General features: G+C 41.3%; 3 annotated features.

Annotated features, from left to right (window-relative positions):
- Nucleotides 768-1,699: an enhancer, noted in NCBI's record as "OCT4-NANOG-H3K27ac-H3K4me1 hESC enhancer chr3:27769715-27770646 (GRCh37/hg19 assembly coordinates)". NCBI's record gives its function as "activates a minimal SCP1, AML or CMV promoter by ChIP-STARR-seq in naive and primed H9 embryonic stem cells {active_cell/tissue: H9 hESC(naive and primed)}" and the evidence as "EXISTENCE:reporter gene assay evidence [ECO:0000049][PMID:30033119]".
- Nucleotides 1,700-2,629: an enhancer, noted in NCBI's record as "NANOG-H3K27ac-H3K4me1 hESC enhancer chr3:27770647-27771576 (GRCh37/hg19 assembly coordinates)". NCBI's record gives its function as "activates a minimal SCP1, AML or CMV promoter by ChIP-STARR-seq in naive and primed H9 embryonic stem cells {active_cell/tissue: H9 hESC(naive and primed)}" and the evidence as "EXISTENCE:reporter gene assay evidence [ECO:0000049][PMID:30033119]".
- Nucleotides 2,630-3,561: an enhancer, noted in NCBI's record as "H3K4me1 hESC enhancer chr3:27771577-27772508 (GRCh37/hg19 assembly coordinates)". NCBI's record gives its function as "activates a minimal SCP1, AML or CMV promoter by ChIP-STARR-seq in naive H9 embryonic stem cells {active_cell/tissue: H9 hESC(naive)}" and the evidence as "EXISTENCE:reporter gene assay evidence [ECO:0000049][PMID:30033119]".

Genomic DNA, 16,733 nt, shown 5'->3' on the forward strand with positions numbered 1-16,733 from the left:
TCTTAGGCTTTATAACCACAAGGACTAAAGTTTTTTCCTAAGAGAAAAAGAAAACAAAGATCTTTCTAAATTAAAAGACATGATATTTTCATCTTTTTCAGACTTTAAAATATATCATTTTTAAGACCTTTTCTATCTCAAGGTTCTTACATTGTGGCATGGCCTTTGTCTGTATGTCCATGCTAAGCTTCTTCCATAGCAAAATAGAAAAAAAGAAGTTAGTGCTGGAATTGTAGTACAGCTGCTAAGGGAAGCAAACACCATGTCACCAAGGAGAAATGTTAATCTGAATGTAAATCAATTGTACTTTACTAACAGAGTTGACAGAGTCTATGAAAATTAATGTTTCAACAGAAGGCACACCTATGATACAGGTGCAGCAAGATGTCTACACAACAGGTGGGCAGAACCCAAATCCTGTTGACCAAGGCTTCAATATGACAGGGGTAGCTGGAATTCCCCAATCCAGACCCTATGTGAGAAAAGTAGGGAGAGGAAGTTTGGGTTGGGGGCAGAAATAAGTAAGCCCATAACATAACCAAGTAAGAAACAGTGAGAGGGAAGGAGAAAGGAAGGACAGACAACAGGATAGAAAACCGTCGCAGTCATTCCTTAAAGGTCTCCCTTTCCAGACTTCTAAGAGAAAACAGAACCTTGTATCAGAATTGTATGTATTTGTGGCTGTAACCTTTACTATCTTTGTGAGTCTGGGAAAGCTCTTTAACTTCTGTGTGCCTCAATTTCCCCACTTGTATAACAGCATAATTAATATGAAGCAATTAGAACAGTACCTGGCACCTACATAGGAAGTCTTTCCTACTACTCGCCATTACACTTAGACTGAGCTTACTTTTTACCGTTCTTACTAAGATACTGGAGCTAAATGAGGATGAATAAACCTTAGTCTTTTTCCTCCCGGGGATTCCCAGTCCGATGGGGGAGGCCAGGAGCAAACAGGTCAAAAGCAACGTGAACCAGGGGTAGGAAGCAGGAGGGAGTCAGTCAGAACCAAAGAGAGTCCCCAGTTACTCTAGCAGCTCTTCTTTATTTCCCCGAAAGGGGAAATCAAGTGCCCTCCCGGTGAGCTCGGCTGGAGAGGTGCACTTCAAAGCGAGGCGGCTGGGGCGCCCTAACCAGGCTGTGCCTTCCGCCCCCTCCAGGCGGCCATTAGCATTCTGTTTTTCCCAAGGCCTCCAGTATCTCCCGCCACCCGCTGGGATTTTGCCGTTCCGGCCGATTACTTGTCAAAGAAAGAAAATAGGGTATTTAGCTCAGCTTTTGTTCTCCACCTACTTGGTTAAACGCCTGACCACGAAGGAGTTAAGTGAGTAGTCGGAAGCCTCCCGCAGGGTTCTCGCTCCAGGAGAAGGCACCCTTAACTGGATGTCCAGAAAAAGAGGCCATCTGGATCCACTCGCTGTGGGTCCCTGCGGGCCTCAGTGGCGGCATCTGCAAATTAAGGGGACAGAGCAAGTGCAGAGCAAGATCTACCGCAGAGAGCGGCTGTCGAGGGAAGTCCGGAGGAGGCCCCGAAGGCCAAGCCGGCCTGGGCTGCTTAATCACTCGGTAGGGGCCGGGACGGTCCCTGGAACTCCCTCCCCCCACAGAATATCAAGGAGCCATAGTAAAGGCGTATCCAAGGGGCAACAAAGAGCAGCTAGGATCATTTTTCCACCACTTAGGGCTGACTTTTCAAGAACAGAGTTTATCTGCAAATTCACAAAAGAGGAGAATAAGAAAAGCAGCAGCTGACTTTGCTCTGCTTTACTTGTATAATCTTTTAAAAGAAAAAGCACCCTAAACTGTTATAATCCCATTTTACAGAAGAGTAAAGTGATGCTTAGAGAGGCGAAGACCCTGGCTCAAAGCACCCAGCTGAAAATGGTAGCCTGGGGATGTGAATTCGAGCGGTCTGGGCTGCGGGGCTCCTAGTGGGGGGATTAAGTACGTGTGAATGGTGGCAGGGCTGGGTCATTGTTTTCTTTGGGGGGGACAGATGTAGGCTATGGAACGGGGACCCTGTGAGTCTTCGGAGCAAGCCAGTGAACGGCATTCAGTACCCATCTACAGCCGGTGGACCTTCAGAATGAGTCTCTGGAGAAAACCGGGCTCCATGACTCGGTTGCAAATCCCAACTTTGCGGTAGAATCGGTCATCCTTGCTTGGCATAATCATGACATGGGTTGTCCACTCTCTAAGTGCTGGGGCTGGGCCAAGCCCTTGGCATACATCATCCCATTTAGGCTCTCACTCCCACCTCTTGAAGGTAGGTGCTTTCAGCATCTTCGCTTTACAGTTAAGAAAATCCAGGCTCAGAGAGATAAAATAACTTGCCTGAGGTTACACAACTTGTGAACCTTAAGTCCAGGAGGACCTAGAAGATGGAGAAGGCGGTACCTTCTGCCTGGAACTCTGAAACTTTTAACAGAAAACTGATCCCTCGGTCCCGAAGAGAGAGGCGCGGCAAAGCAACAGCCAGTTCTCTCCCTCATCCCCTTCCAGATAAATTTCCTTTTCTCCTACTCCTCGCTGGGGTTTGCGGTGCCCCTGCCTCCTGCATGAAAGCGCGCTCTAAAGCTAGGGTTTTTGGACTTTAGGAGCGCTTCTCGCCTCCCCCTAGACGTTTGAAGCCTTCCAATTGAGCAAGGGCTGGGAAGCGAGAAGGCTCCTCTGGTCTCTCCCTCCTCTGAGCGCGGGACCTCGGCGGACACCCTAATCCCGAAACACTCCTCTCTGGGACTGCGCACTTGCCAGCACGACAGCCAACTCCGCCTCAGAGGAGTCTTTTAGGGCTCTGAGCGAGTGGCGAATGCTCCCCCGGTGATGCACTATCGCTCCCACCCACGCCCTGGTACGCGCAGCCCGGGAAAAAGAAAAAAAAAAGTCCACGTAGGGGCTCAAACCCAGGCGTCAGGCGCTGCAGTCAGGGAAGGCTCCCTTAGGGGCTGGGTTCCTGGCGCTTACGACGCAGAGAAGGATAAGGGCGATGGTTTCGCAATCCCACCCCCTCCTTTGTCCTCCTCCCCACCTCCCAGCCTTTGGCGGCTTAGATCTCCAAATGCAGTCTGGATGGCACTCAGGTATTCGAGCGCCCCAGTTTATCTTATCACCGCCCCCTACAAATACACATCCATTCCAGATTGGCTTCTGGGAAAAGATACGGGGGTAGGGGATCCCACATATTTCCTCTCACCCTCCCTCTTTGGTCCTTGACGCCGAGAGTCTTCTCTGTTTCTCCGTACCCTTAGGTCATCGTCCAGGGCAGAGGTTAATTTAGACATCTTGACTGCAACAACTGATAACACTTACATACATGTATGAATATATCAACAATACATTATATGTAGTATATATTATATAATATAAAATCAATATATACTTAACGTACTTGCATGAGTTAAAAAAAAAATACCCAGCAACCCAAAAGCCACCAGATTACCAACTCTTGCGCCTCCCAATTCCTCGAAGTGAAGGCAATCACTATTAGTTTCTCCTGTGTATTTCTGGGGCTATAATGTTATGTTTGCACCAGCAAGTACGTAAGCGCACCTGAATTTCTCTTTATCTGTCCCCCACCCATCTGCACGCTTTTATACACTTTATTAACCACCTTGCTTTTTTCACTTATAATATATCTTTAAGTTAGTTCCTTGGAGACGTCGGAGTTTTTGCTAGCTTGACATCCCGGGCTCACAACTGGCGGGAAATAGCTTAAAAATTATATTGATGCTTTGAGGCCTTTCCTTGCAGCTGCTTGCGCCCACAAGCTGCAGTCCTTTCCCCGGTCAGCAGCCGGCTGTCCCGCACCCCCCGGCAGAGCGCAGAGGGTCGAAAGATTTGCGCCGCAGAAGACGCAGCGTCCCCTTGCGCTGCGTGTGCGGAACCCCGCTGTGAGAGTTTCCCTTTCACTGAGACTCCTTCATTGTTTGTCCTCTGAGACCCCCAAAGCAGGTAAACAAGCACTGATACCCTGCCCTGTGATCAGAAGCTCTTGGGCCAGGGAGCGATCTGCTAGATGGTCCCAGTGCTGCCTTAGGTCAGATCAAAGCGGAGGACCTAGAGGGAACCGTCAGCCCCATTAACATCCCGCTCTGCTTGCCAGCTGGGGCCTGAAGAGGGTTGGGCAGGTGTGGGCCAGGAATTGCTTGTTACCTAAGGTCCAGGGAGCGACCCCATCTGAAACACTTCCTGAATTCTCCTCGGCCCCAGTGGCAACTCTTGGAAGATGCTGAAGTTCCTTACATTTCTCAGAAGTCGCACTGTAAAATTCAGTTGATTCCACAATATTAGAAAACACTTGTTGACCTAGTATGTGTGTCAGACATTGCACGAGGTGCTGGGGTACAAAAGTGGATGATGTTGGATCCGGACAACATCAAGTCAGCAAATAAGAGAGTATCAGAATATCGAGGTATCAGTCAAACGGGGTAATGCGGTGGTTCCCAATCTTGGCTGCATATTAGAATAATCTGGAGAGTTCTTAAAAATCCTAATGCCCAGGTAGCACCACGGAACAATTAAATCAGAATTTCTGGCGGTGAGACAAGGCATCAGGATTACTTAATGATCCCCAGGTGGTTCCAATATGCAGCAAACTTATGGGTTGGTGGAGGCTCTTTATGGAGAGTTGACATTTGAGCTGAGACAGCAATAGGGAGGTGGCAGTCAGGAGAAGGCGTGTGGGAACACCCCGCGACCAGCCCTGAGTCTGCTGATGCTCTGGGATTGGCAGTGGGGGAGGGAAAAAGAGGACATTTGACAAGTAGAAGGAAATATGTGATGCAGAGCATCTAGTCACAGTTCACTGCATCCCTGGGAAGTCTCTCAATTGCCCAATTCCATAGGAAAGCTTTAAACAACACTAAAAAATATCTACCTTAAAATGATGGATTTTTACATGCAATTTTAAAACTAAATAATGCATAAAAATATATGAAAAATAGAATAATGCTAGAAAGCTTTTAACAGCAACTTCGTGATGTATTACGTGAGGACATTTCAACAAATCTAAGATGCCATCCATTGATATGCCTAACTGATGTGTTCACCACAAAGAAAACAAAAGCTGTGTCCTAGAATTTTAATTTTGTGCTTATTGAAATAATTTTTTTTTTTTTGAGATTGAATCTTGTTCTGTTGCCCAAGCTGGCGTGCAAGATCTTGGCTCACTCCAACCTCCACCTCTCAGGTTCAAGTGATTCTCCTGCCTCAGCCTCCCAAGTAGCTGAGATTACAGGTGCATGCCACGATGCCCTGGTAAATTTTTTTTTTTTTTTTTTTGTATTTTTAGTAGAGACGGAGTTTCACCATGTTGGCCAGGGTGGTCTCGAACTCCTGACCTCAGGTTATCCACCTGCTTCAGCCTCCTAAAGTGCTGGGATTACAGGTGTGAGCCACCATGCCCGGCCAATAATTGCTTATTTAGAGAAAGTATTATTTTCGTATTTCACTCATGCACACATAAAATGGACAATAAAAGCTGTATTCACAAGCAGTGACAGCTATTTCAGAACTGCCATCTGATCAACAGTAGTGGTAAGACACCATTGCTTGTAGAATGTATCTTATTTCTAAGAAGTTAAAAGATGTGTCATAGAATTAATGCAAGTCAGTGTTGTCCAATGAGCTCACTACTCTCAGTGCTTTACATCTTTTAGTTCATTTAGTCCTTACTATGATATGATATGAGGTAGGAACAATTATTTATTAACAACATTTATAGGTGAGAAAATTGAGACATTGAAAGCTAAGTTACTTTAAGTCAGACCATTACCAAGTTGCAGAGATAGGGCATAAACCCACCGAGGGCTTAATTACAATAGGAGCCTGAGAAAATTGTCCACATGAGCCAACTGAGACTCAGAAGTGTTGAAAGGAGGGGTACAGGGTGAGAAGTGAGAGAAAGGGTTTGAGAACTCAATTAAGTTGTAGGTTGGGATCTGCTTCTCTGCTTGATCTGTCTCATAATATTTTAGGAGTAGAAGGAATCATGTGGTAAGACAATACTATATAGCCAAGAGTATTCTTATCCATTAAAATAAGAAAGAGATGATAAAATACACAGTTATCATCTTATTTCTTAAAAATAAGAAAGAGATGATAACTATATTTTCAGGCCATAATTTTCAAGTAAACTTTAAAAAATAAACCTAAAGTAAATACATACAAAAAAGTACAAGTATTCTAAATTCACAACTTGATATGTTTTACCAAATTGAACACACTTGTATAACCAGCATCCATGTTAAGAAATCCATTATTGCCCAAATTCCAGATGCTTCACATTCTTCCTTCTGCTCACTGCTTCCCATGAGGTAACCATCATTTTGACTTTTGTAACCATTGATTAGTTTTCCCTGTTTTTGAGTTTTATATAAATGGAATCTTATACTGTGTTCTTCTTTGTGTGTGGCTTCATTCACTCAACATGTGTTTGGGATTCACTCATGTTGTACTGCATACGTGCATTTGTTCCATCTCCTTGCTGTGTCATATCTCATTGTGTAAATATATAATTTTTCCATTCTGCTGTTGAAGACATTTGTGTTGTTTCTAGTTTTTGGGTTATTATATATAGGGCTGATATGAACATTCTTGTACATGTCCTTTGGTGAATATCTGTATAGTCTTTCTGTCAGGCCTGTACTCACAGGAGTGGGATTGCTGGGACACAGAGGTCAGACTATATTTTTTAAGAGAGTTAGTAACATTTAAAAATTTTTGGCTATTTGAAGATGGTACCTTATACTCTTAATATTTAAATGTAATAATTTTATGGAGTATTAAGGGAAGGGATATCAAGTTAAAGAAAGCAGCAAAAATGAAAAGGAGATAGAAAGATAGAAGCTATGCTGTAGCATACACTTACCTTTCTGTATTCTTCTGTTCAACACTAAATACTTATAAATACACTTCCTCCACAAATTGTTGAGCACCCACAGAGAAGCATGTTGGCAAAGCAGACAGGGATTAGGGAATATTGAGAATGCAGAGGAAGCCCCTTGCTTACATTTCATCTTCTAAATTTATGACTTTAAAGCAATTGCCTAGGTTGAACATTTCTAGCATGTGAACATAGAGTTACTGATATCAGCACATTTTCAAGTCTAGATTTTCCACTGATTTTTAAAATAAAAATATATTATATGTAAATATATACTAAAATATATAGAAATAAATATATTATTATATATAAAAATAATATATTATTATAATAAATATATTTATTTCTATACAAAAAATATAATCAGGGAAAAACTTTCCCACCTGATGTTATAATGTTATATGATCTTTGTAAAAAAAAAAAAAAAGCAATTAAGAGCCAGTAAAAACAAGGACAACAAAACACAATCTATAATCCAATCCCTTAGTGATAACCACTCTGAACAATGGTGGTCATAGGACACCAATGGGTGCCTACCTAGTGTCTCCCTCATTCCATTCGTTTTTCCTAAAATAATTCCTGTTTTATTTACGCATCCATCCCTCTCATAAGACTCTGGGAAAAGTGATCCCAGCTGCATTAAGGAGAGGTTGACAATCAGTATGTGTCATTTCCTTGCAGATGCTCCTGGCCCAGATGGAAGGGAAAGACTTAGAGTCAATGCTTGGGACAGAGTTTTTCTCCTTCACCTTCCTACTTAAGTAGAAAAAGCAAGCAAGTAGTGTGATTGCCTCTGGCACCATCTTGGGACCATGAGGGAAATCTTTTTAGGGGAACCCAATGGTCAAACAACAAATCAAAGACAGGGAGAGAATCTGGATCGTTGAGGATTTCTTTGAGCTGCTGATGGTTGGGCCTGCCCTACATTTTGAGGCAGTAATTACCTTAATATCTAAAATGATGTGAATCAACATCCTAACTATGGAGTTATATGTCTTTCCAGATATGATTGAGCATGGAGTTACATAAATATCCATTTGCATAATGTACTACATTCACATATATGCCATATACATATGTAATATGTAAGTATACAAATATTAGTTCAGTTTTTTCATTTATAAGCGACACCACACAATGAACATTCTTGCACAAACATCTTTACATACTTGCCTTACTATTTCATTAGAATAAATCCTTAGAATTCATGGCTCTAGATTGAAATACATTTGTGTTTCAAATTTTGATACACAGCAGTAGATCCTCTTCCACAAATATTATACCAATTTACACTCCCAATAAAAATGTTTCCATCCTCACCAAACCCAGCTATTATTATTAATCCTCTAGTCTTCGTCAGTCTGGCCAGGGAAAATATGCCAATACTGCTTTGCATTTTTAAAATTGTTGATGAATTTCTGTGTCATATTTAAGTTTAGTAAGAGCTTTTTGGATATCATATATACATATCTACTATGTTGAGTGTTTCAAATATTTTCTCCTCTGTTATCATTTGTCTTTTGATTTAGTTAATGAGATTTTATTCTGTACAGAAAGTTAAGTATCTTTCCTGCTGCATGTTGGGGTTTATGTGAAGCCATAGAAAATCCTGCTCTCCTTCAGAGTTTTTCCAGTGCTTTCAAACCACATCATAAATATTTGACACATTTGAAATTAATTTTGAGGGAAAGAACAGTTAGAAATTCATCTTTATGTTTTAGCAATTATCTAACCAGTTGTCCAAATACCATTTACTGATTATCCTTAATTTGAACACTTTTAAAATATGTACCACATTTCCCTGCATACTTTGGTTTAATTTTGGACTCCATTAGCTGCCATTGAACTATTTGTCTTTATCACTACTAGCAACATGCTATTTTAATTATCTTAGCTTTATAATATAGTTTTCCCCCCATAGGACAAAATACTTGCCACTTAAAAAAAAGTCTTGGCACCTCTCTTTCTGTCTCTCGACAAGGACTTGCTCTGTTGCCCAGGCTGGAGTGCAGCAGTGCAATCTTGGCTCACTGCAGCTTTGACCTCCTGGGCTCAAACCATCTTCCCACCTTAGCTTCTGGAGTAACTGGGACTACCGGCTCGTGGCCTCCAAGGCCAGCTAATTTTTGTGTTTTTTGCAGATACTGGGTCTCATTATGTTGCCTAAGCTGGTCTTGAACTCCTGGGCTTAAGTGATGCTCATACCTTGGCCTCTCAAAGTGCTAGGATTACAGGCCTGAACCACCCCGCCCAGCCTTAAATGGTATATTGTTTGTTATAGTAAAGCTATTGATGAAAAAAAAAAATCTTGTGGCTGGGTGCAGCGGCTCACGCCTGTAATCCCAGCACTTTGGGAGGCTGAGGCAGGTGGAGATCAGCCAGAACAACACAGCAAAACCCCATCTCTACTAAAAATACAAAAATTAGCCAGACATGGTGGTGTGCCCTTGTGGTCCCAGCTACTCCAGAGGCTGAGGTGGGAGGATCACTTGAACCCAGAAGGGGAGGAGGTGCTTATAGTGAGCAAAAGGAGCAAAGGTCGTGCCACTGTACTCCAGCTTGGGCGACAGAGTGAGATCACGGCTGGAAAAAAAAAAAGTTAATGACTACCTATCTGAGTTTTCTTTTGACTTTGAGTAGCTTTGCACTTGATTATTGTTTTATAACATCAACTGCTTGGATATGAATATTTTCCTAAGATATGATCCATAGGGTATGATAATTTTCTTAGTTTTTTCATTTAATTCTTGAATATTGAACCATCACTCAAAATCAATGTGAAATCTTAGTGCTTATGTTAGTCTGTTTGGTCTGCTATAATAAAATACCATAAATTGGGTAGCCTATAAACAATGGAAATGTATTGCTCATAGTTCTGAAGGCTAGGAAGTCCAAGGTCAAGGGATCAGCAGACTTAGTATCTCCTGAGGGTCTGATTTCTGGTTCATGAATGGTGCCCTCTATGGTAGGCTCCATTTGTCCTCACATGGTAGAAAGAAACAAGACAGCTCTCTGGGGCCTCTTCTGTAAACACTAATCCCCTTCATCTGGGCTCCACCCTCAAGAACTAACTACCTCCCAAATGTTCCACCCCTAATATCACCATTATGTTGTAGACTAGGTTTCAACATATATAAATTTAGGGAGCATACAAATATTTATACTATAGCACTGCTGCTGCTAATATCCTCCTCTTGTACCTGACTTTAGTGGGAATGCTTCTAGTGTTAAATCATCTAGCATGGTGCTAAATTTTGAATACGTGCACACACACATACGCATCTATAAAATATAGGTAATTGGGCCAGGTGCAGTGGCTCATGCCTGTAATCCCAGCACTTTGGGAGGCTGAGGCAGGCAGATCATGAGGTCAGGAGTTCAAGACCAGCCTGACCAACATGGTGAAACCCCATCTCTACTAAAAATACAATAATCACCCGGTTGTGGTGGCACGTGCCTGTAATCCCAGCTACTCAAGAGGCTGAGGCAGGAGAATCACTTGAACCCAGGAGGTGGAGGTTGCAGTGAGCCAAGATCACGCACTCCAGCCTGGGCGACAGAGCGAGACTCCGTCTCAAAAAAAAAAAAAAAAAAAAATATATATATATATATATATATATAATATATGTATTTAAAATACATGTGAATGCCTTTGAAAATATATATGTAGTGTATGTATTTTGTGGACATATACAAAATTAAAGAATTCACAATTTATTCTTATTTTATCTGAGATAATTTTTTTTTTTTTTTTTTTTTGAGACGGAATCGAGCTCTGTCACCCAGGCTAGAGGGCAGTGGCGTGATTTCAGCTCACTGCAACTTCCGCCTCCCGGGTTCAAGTGATTCTACTGCCTCAGCCCCTTGAGTAGCTGGGATTACAGGCACGTGCCACCACACCCGGCTGATTATTGTATTTTTAGTAGAGACGGGGTTTCACCATGTTGGCCAGGCTGGTATTGAACTCCTGACCTCAAGTGATCCACCCACCTCAGCGTCCCGAAGTGGAAAATGTTGCATTTTTAAAAATATAAAATCTATTTGTTCAAATGAATTATTATTACTATTGTGACTAAGTTTCACTCTGCTGGAGTACAGTGGCGCTATCTCGGCTCACTGCAACTTCTGCCTCCCGAGTTCAAATGATTCTCCTGCCTTGGTCTCCCGAGTAGCTGGGATCACAGGCATGCGTCACCATGCCGGGCTAATTTTCTTTATTTTTAGTAGAGACAGGGTTTCACTATGTTGGCCAGACTGGTCTCAAACTCCTGACCTCAGATGATCCTCCAGCCTCGGCCTCCCAAAGTGCTGGGAATACAGGCGTCAGCCACCACACCCAGCCTACATCACTATTTATACGGTCTGTTTTCTCTTAGTTAGGTTTTGATAGCAATTGTGTGCTAATTTTGTAAAAATAATTTGGGAAATTTGTTTTATTTTCTATGAAATGACTTAAATACAAGTATCACTTCCATAAGACTTTATGTGTGAAATGAATAGGGCCTGGAGATACTCTCAGCATATTAAAAAAATTTTTTTCTTCCGTTTATATTGGTCTATTTAATTATCAGATTGTCAAATGTTTTAGCAGAGACGTATGCCAAAGTTGTGTATTATAGTAATCTATTTTACATAGTAATATAGTCAGTCATGTTTTATGTTTAGTCTTAATTCTGCCATCTTATTTTATGTTTTTACTTCTTTCTTGTTGCCTTTTTTGTTATATAGTCTATATTTTTTGTTTCCCTTTCTCTCTTTCTGTACCGTATTTGTATTTCTGAAAATACAGCTCTTTCTTTCTTTCTTTCTTTTTTTTTTTTTTTGAGACAGAGTCTCGCTCTTTCGCCCAGGATGGAGTGCAGTGGTGCTATCTCGGTTCACTGCATGCTCCGCCTCCCGGGTTCGCACCATTCTCCTGCCTCAGCCTCCCAAGTAGCTGGGACTATAGGCGCCCGCCACGGCGCCTGGCTAATTTTTTGTATTTTTCGTAGAGACGGGGTTTCACCGTGTTAGCCAGGATGGTCTCGATCTCCTGACCTCCTGATCTGCCCGCCTCGGCCTCCCAAAGTGCTGGGATTAGAGGCGTGAGCCACCGCGCCCGGCCAGCTCTTCCATTAATAATTATTTTTTAATGGATTTAAACAATATAATGAGCCTAAAGAAATTTCCAGGCTAAGAAACAAAACAGCATGTATAAATCTCTACTGTGAAGAGAGGTTTATACATGAACCAGCTAGAATGTAAACATCATGACAGAATCGATACTGTCTGTATCATTTACTGCTGTATCCTCAATGTTGGGCACAGAACCTCAGACATAGCAGATATGTGATAAATATAAATTGTTTGGGTAAATAAATTTATGCACTTCACTGACTTTCACTTTTGAACTTTTGACAGCAGTCTTTGAGATTTAGGTACAAGTCCATTACATCAATGTTATATTCTTATGCTTTTCATTACGTTGTTTTCCCTTAAAAAAAAGAATATTTAAGACTCATTTCGTAACTCCAATTGCTATCATGATTTGCCATTATTTATAATTATATGAATTCTGATCTCAGTGCCAGTCTTTCTGTGTACTGTCCTCCGCACTTCCAACCTCTTTCGCATGCCGAGATTATGGTATTATACGAATTTTTCCAGAAAAGTTTTGCAGGTGATATTTTTCTTTTATCTTCTATAGTACTCAGGGTTTCCAGAGAAAGAGAACCAATAGGATATGTGTGCTTGTGTGTGTATGTGTGTAAGATATAGGAAGTAGAAGAACTAGGACCAAAAATAGAAGTTCCAAGGAAGCTGATTGAGCTGGAAGCATGAGTAAGTTTAAAAAACTTGATTTCACTGTCAGTTAGAATGTCCAATTCAATAGGATCTCAAAGCTATATATTTCCAGGGATTACTCAGTGAGTCAGTCTTAAGTCCCTGCTTTGGTTGCCTGTGTTCATTACATTAAACAACATAAGAGGAAGGTCTTTGTACATATGGCACTAAGTAAACTGTAAACCAGAATTCAATTTTGAATTCTAGGAGATTTTTCTGGGATTGAACCATTTAAACAGTGCTAGGTCCCCTCGTTTAACACAAATTTGTGAAGGACTTCCTATATGCCAGGCTGTGTGCTAGCCCTGAGAATACCAAGGTTAATAAGGTTAGCTCCATGACTTTGAGGAGTATTGAATCTATTGGTTCTCTGTTCTCTAACATTGTCACTCTTACTAGAGAACTTCCAAACATTACTAGTAATACAAACTTAGCCAACCAAGGCAACAATAAAAGCAAGATAATTTAATGTCAAAGAAAAAATCCCACTTTAAAAATGTTATCTAGAAAGAGTGAATGTTTTAGTTAAATAAAATAATTATTACTTATGGATTGATTGTTGCTTATTGATTTTACATGCCTAGTTCTTTAACGGTCTAGTGTTACAATTGCTGAACATAACAATTAAACTTGTGACTCTCAAGAAGAGGAATGAGGCTAGGCACAGTGGCTCATGCTTGTAATCTCAGTGTTTTGGAATTATGAAGAAGGAGTGTTGCTTGAGGCCAGGAGTTCAAGACCAGACTGGGCAACATAGAGAGACCCTATCTCAAAACAAACAAACAGACAAACAAAAAACCCAGAAAATAGCTAAGCACGGTGAAGCATGCCTATAATTCTAGCTATTCAAGCAGCTGAGGTGGGAGGATGGCTTGAGCCCAGGAGTTCGTGGTTATGGTGAGCTGTGATAAAACTACTGCACTCTAGGCTGTGCAACAGAGCAAGACCTTGTCTGTAGGGGAAAAAAAGAAGATGGGGGGAACAGATGTCACTTTAATCAATGTACTTCACTTGTAAATTTGGGAGGTAACACTGTTGCCAGTATGGTCTGTTTGTCTAGGAAGGACAAAACACTTTTTTTTTTTAGATGGAGTTTTGCTCTTGTTGCTCAGGCTAGAGTGCAATGGCGCGATTTTGGCTCACCGCAACCTCTGCCTCCCTGGTTCAAGCGATTCTCCTGCCTCAGCCTCCCAAGTAGTTGGGATTACAGGCATGTGCCACCATACTTGGCTAATTTTGTATTTTTAGTAGAGACGGGGTTTCACCATGTTGGTCAGGCTGGTCTCGAACTCTCGACCTCAGGTGATCCACCCACCTCAGCCTCCCAAAGTGCTGGGATTACAGGAGTGAGCCACTGTGTCCGGCTGACAAAATACTTTTAACTACCTCCCTGTATGTAGGAGTTCATTGTATACACATTAATACAAAATGCTTATGGGAAAGAGGATAATAAGTACCCCAAATTTATGAAAATGGTGACATTCCTCTCAGATTTTTCTTTCTAAACTTGAGGAAAGTGGCCAACTATTTTTCTTTTGAAGATTCTCAGATGTTATAGAGTGTGACAACCAGAAGAGTAAAGCCATTTCCTCATTTAGAATCACTATTAAACTCTTATTTCTTTCCTCTTAAAAGCTTTATTGACGCAAACCATAGAGGAAGAACCACAGAGGACATACCTGGGTTTTATTCTTATCCTCACAATGAACAATGGGCAAAATATAACTATTAGATGATGGACATTTAAACTATTATTTACCTGTAAAGATACAGCCTTTCGGGCCGGGCACAGGGGCTCACGCCTGTAATCCCAGCACTTTGCAATGCCGAGGGGGGCAGATCATCTGAGCTCAGGAGTTGGAAATCAGGGTGGCCAACATGGCAAAACCGCATCTCTACTAAAAATACAAAAATTAGCTGGTCGTGGTGGCGGGTGCCTGTAATCCCACCTACCCAGGAGGCAGAGGAACAAGAATCACTTGATCACTTGATCCCGGGAGGCAGAAGGCAGAGGTTGCAGTAAGCTGAGATCGGGCCACTGCATGCCAGCCTGGGCAACCGAGCAAGACTCCCTCTCAAAAAAAAAAAAAAAAAATAGAGATATAGCCTTTCTGTCTGATAACAGGCCGCAAAGCGATCTGACAACATATAACTGAAATGAGCGGTACTAAATCTAAATGATTTCTAAGCATTTAATTAAATTTTATAAAAATTGTATATACTTTTCCATAAACAAAGCCTCATATTTCTTTTTCCAGTCCAAAATAGTTAAAGTTACAAGATCATGCTTTTTGAAGACTGGGACAAAAATTTAAAGCAGCAATACAAATTTGAATATTTTGAACTGTTACCACTTGGGAATTTATAAAAAGCAAACCAATCACTTTTTGATAACATTATTGGCTCTAAAGAAAAATGTAGAATACAATTAAAATATGTTTAAAAGAGTAATGACAACACATAAACAGCACATATCTAAACTATTGGGGTGCAGCCAAAACTATAGCTATTGTAGGTCCTTTACATATAAATTTTAGAATTAGCTCATCAATATCTATAAAGCTATGCCTTTAAATGAGTTTATAATACAAATTAAAAGGGGGAATAAATTAACTAGAAGTTTCAATGAATATTTTTTTAAAAATTATGCGTTTATGTGTATCCTCATTTATAGTTAGTAATTTCATTTTATCGTTGCTTTCTCTATTAAAAAATGCCTGCTGGGATTTTGATTGGAATTATATTGAATTTAATTCACATTTTAACAACATCAAAGAAAAAGGCAGAGTCTTTCTCAAAAGGCTCCAGCTTTTCCTCCAGTCTCAGAAGACTGAATTGGGAATTCTGCTCATCACTGAAGCAATCTCTGCCTAAAGAGATGGAGGCACTCCGGGACCTGGGAAAGGCACACAAACAGCCTCACAAACTTAGGGCTGTAAGGAATGGGGAAGGGTAAAATGAATACTAGGGTGATAACAAACAACAATTCACTGCATAAGACATAAGCATAAGGATAGAGATACTGGGGAAGGGAACTGGCTTGCAAACTTGGAGACTCCTAATTTTTTTTTTTTTTGACAGAGTCTTGCTCTGTCACCCAGGCTGGAGTGCAGTGGTGTGATCTTGGATCACTGATACCTCTACTTCCCAGGCTCAAGCGATTCTCCTGCCTCAGCCTCCTGAGTAACTGGGACTACAGGCGCCTGCCACCATGCCTGGCTAATTTTTGTATTTTTAGTAGCGAGAGGGTGGTTTCACCATGTTGGTCAGGCTGGTCTTGAACTTCTGACCTCAAGTGATCCACTTGCCTCGGCCTCACAAAGTGCCGGGATTATAGATGTGAACCACCATGCCTGGCCAAAGACTCCTAATTGAACATTCATTCATTCAACAACTAGTTATTGAACTCTTACTATGTGTCGTTGACTATTCTAAGTACTATGTTTATGGTAAGGAAGACAGACAAGTCTTTCCTTTGAAGAAATATATAAAAGGAGAGACAGAAAACAAACAAGTAAACAAATGTATATGGCAGTTTCAGACCATGAGGGGAGTGATGATGTGAATAATGCAGGGTGGTATGGAAAACTGCCTGGGAGAGCCACTATGGACAGGGAGCTCAGGGAAGACCACCCTGAGGAGTTACAGTCCATGAGTCTCAAATGATGCACCAGAGCCGGAATCAGAAGGAAGCGCATTCTCAGCACAGTGGCAGCAGGTAGAACAGCATTGAGGGGTAACAAGTTTAACGTATTTCAGAACCTGACAAAGGATTGGTGTGGCTGAAAAATACCATGAGATAAGGTAGGTGAGAGAGGTGGGCAGGAGCCAATCGTACATGGCTTGGTGGACCCTGAATAAGTATTTTACATTTTAATGTAAATATAGTCAGAAGCTATTAGAAGATTGTAAGCAGAGGAGAGATAAGATTTGTTTTATGGTCCAACAATGATAGACTGGATTAAGAAAATGTGGCACATATACACCATGGAATACTATGCAGCCATAAAAAAGGATGAGTTCATGT

This window comes from Homo sapiens, chromosome 3, assembly GCF_000001405.40.
Source record: "Homo sapiens chromosome 3, GRCh38.p14 Primary Assembly".
Taxonomy (NCBI): Eukaryota; Metazoa; Chordata; class Mammalia; order Primates; family Hominidae; genus Homo; species Homo sapiens.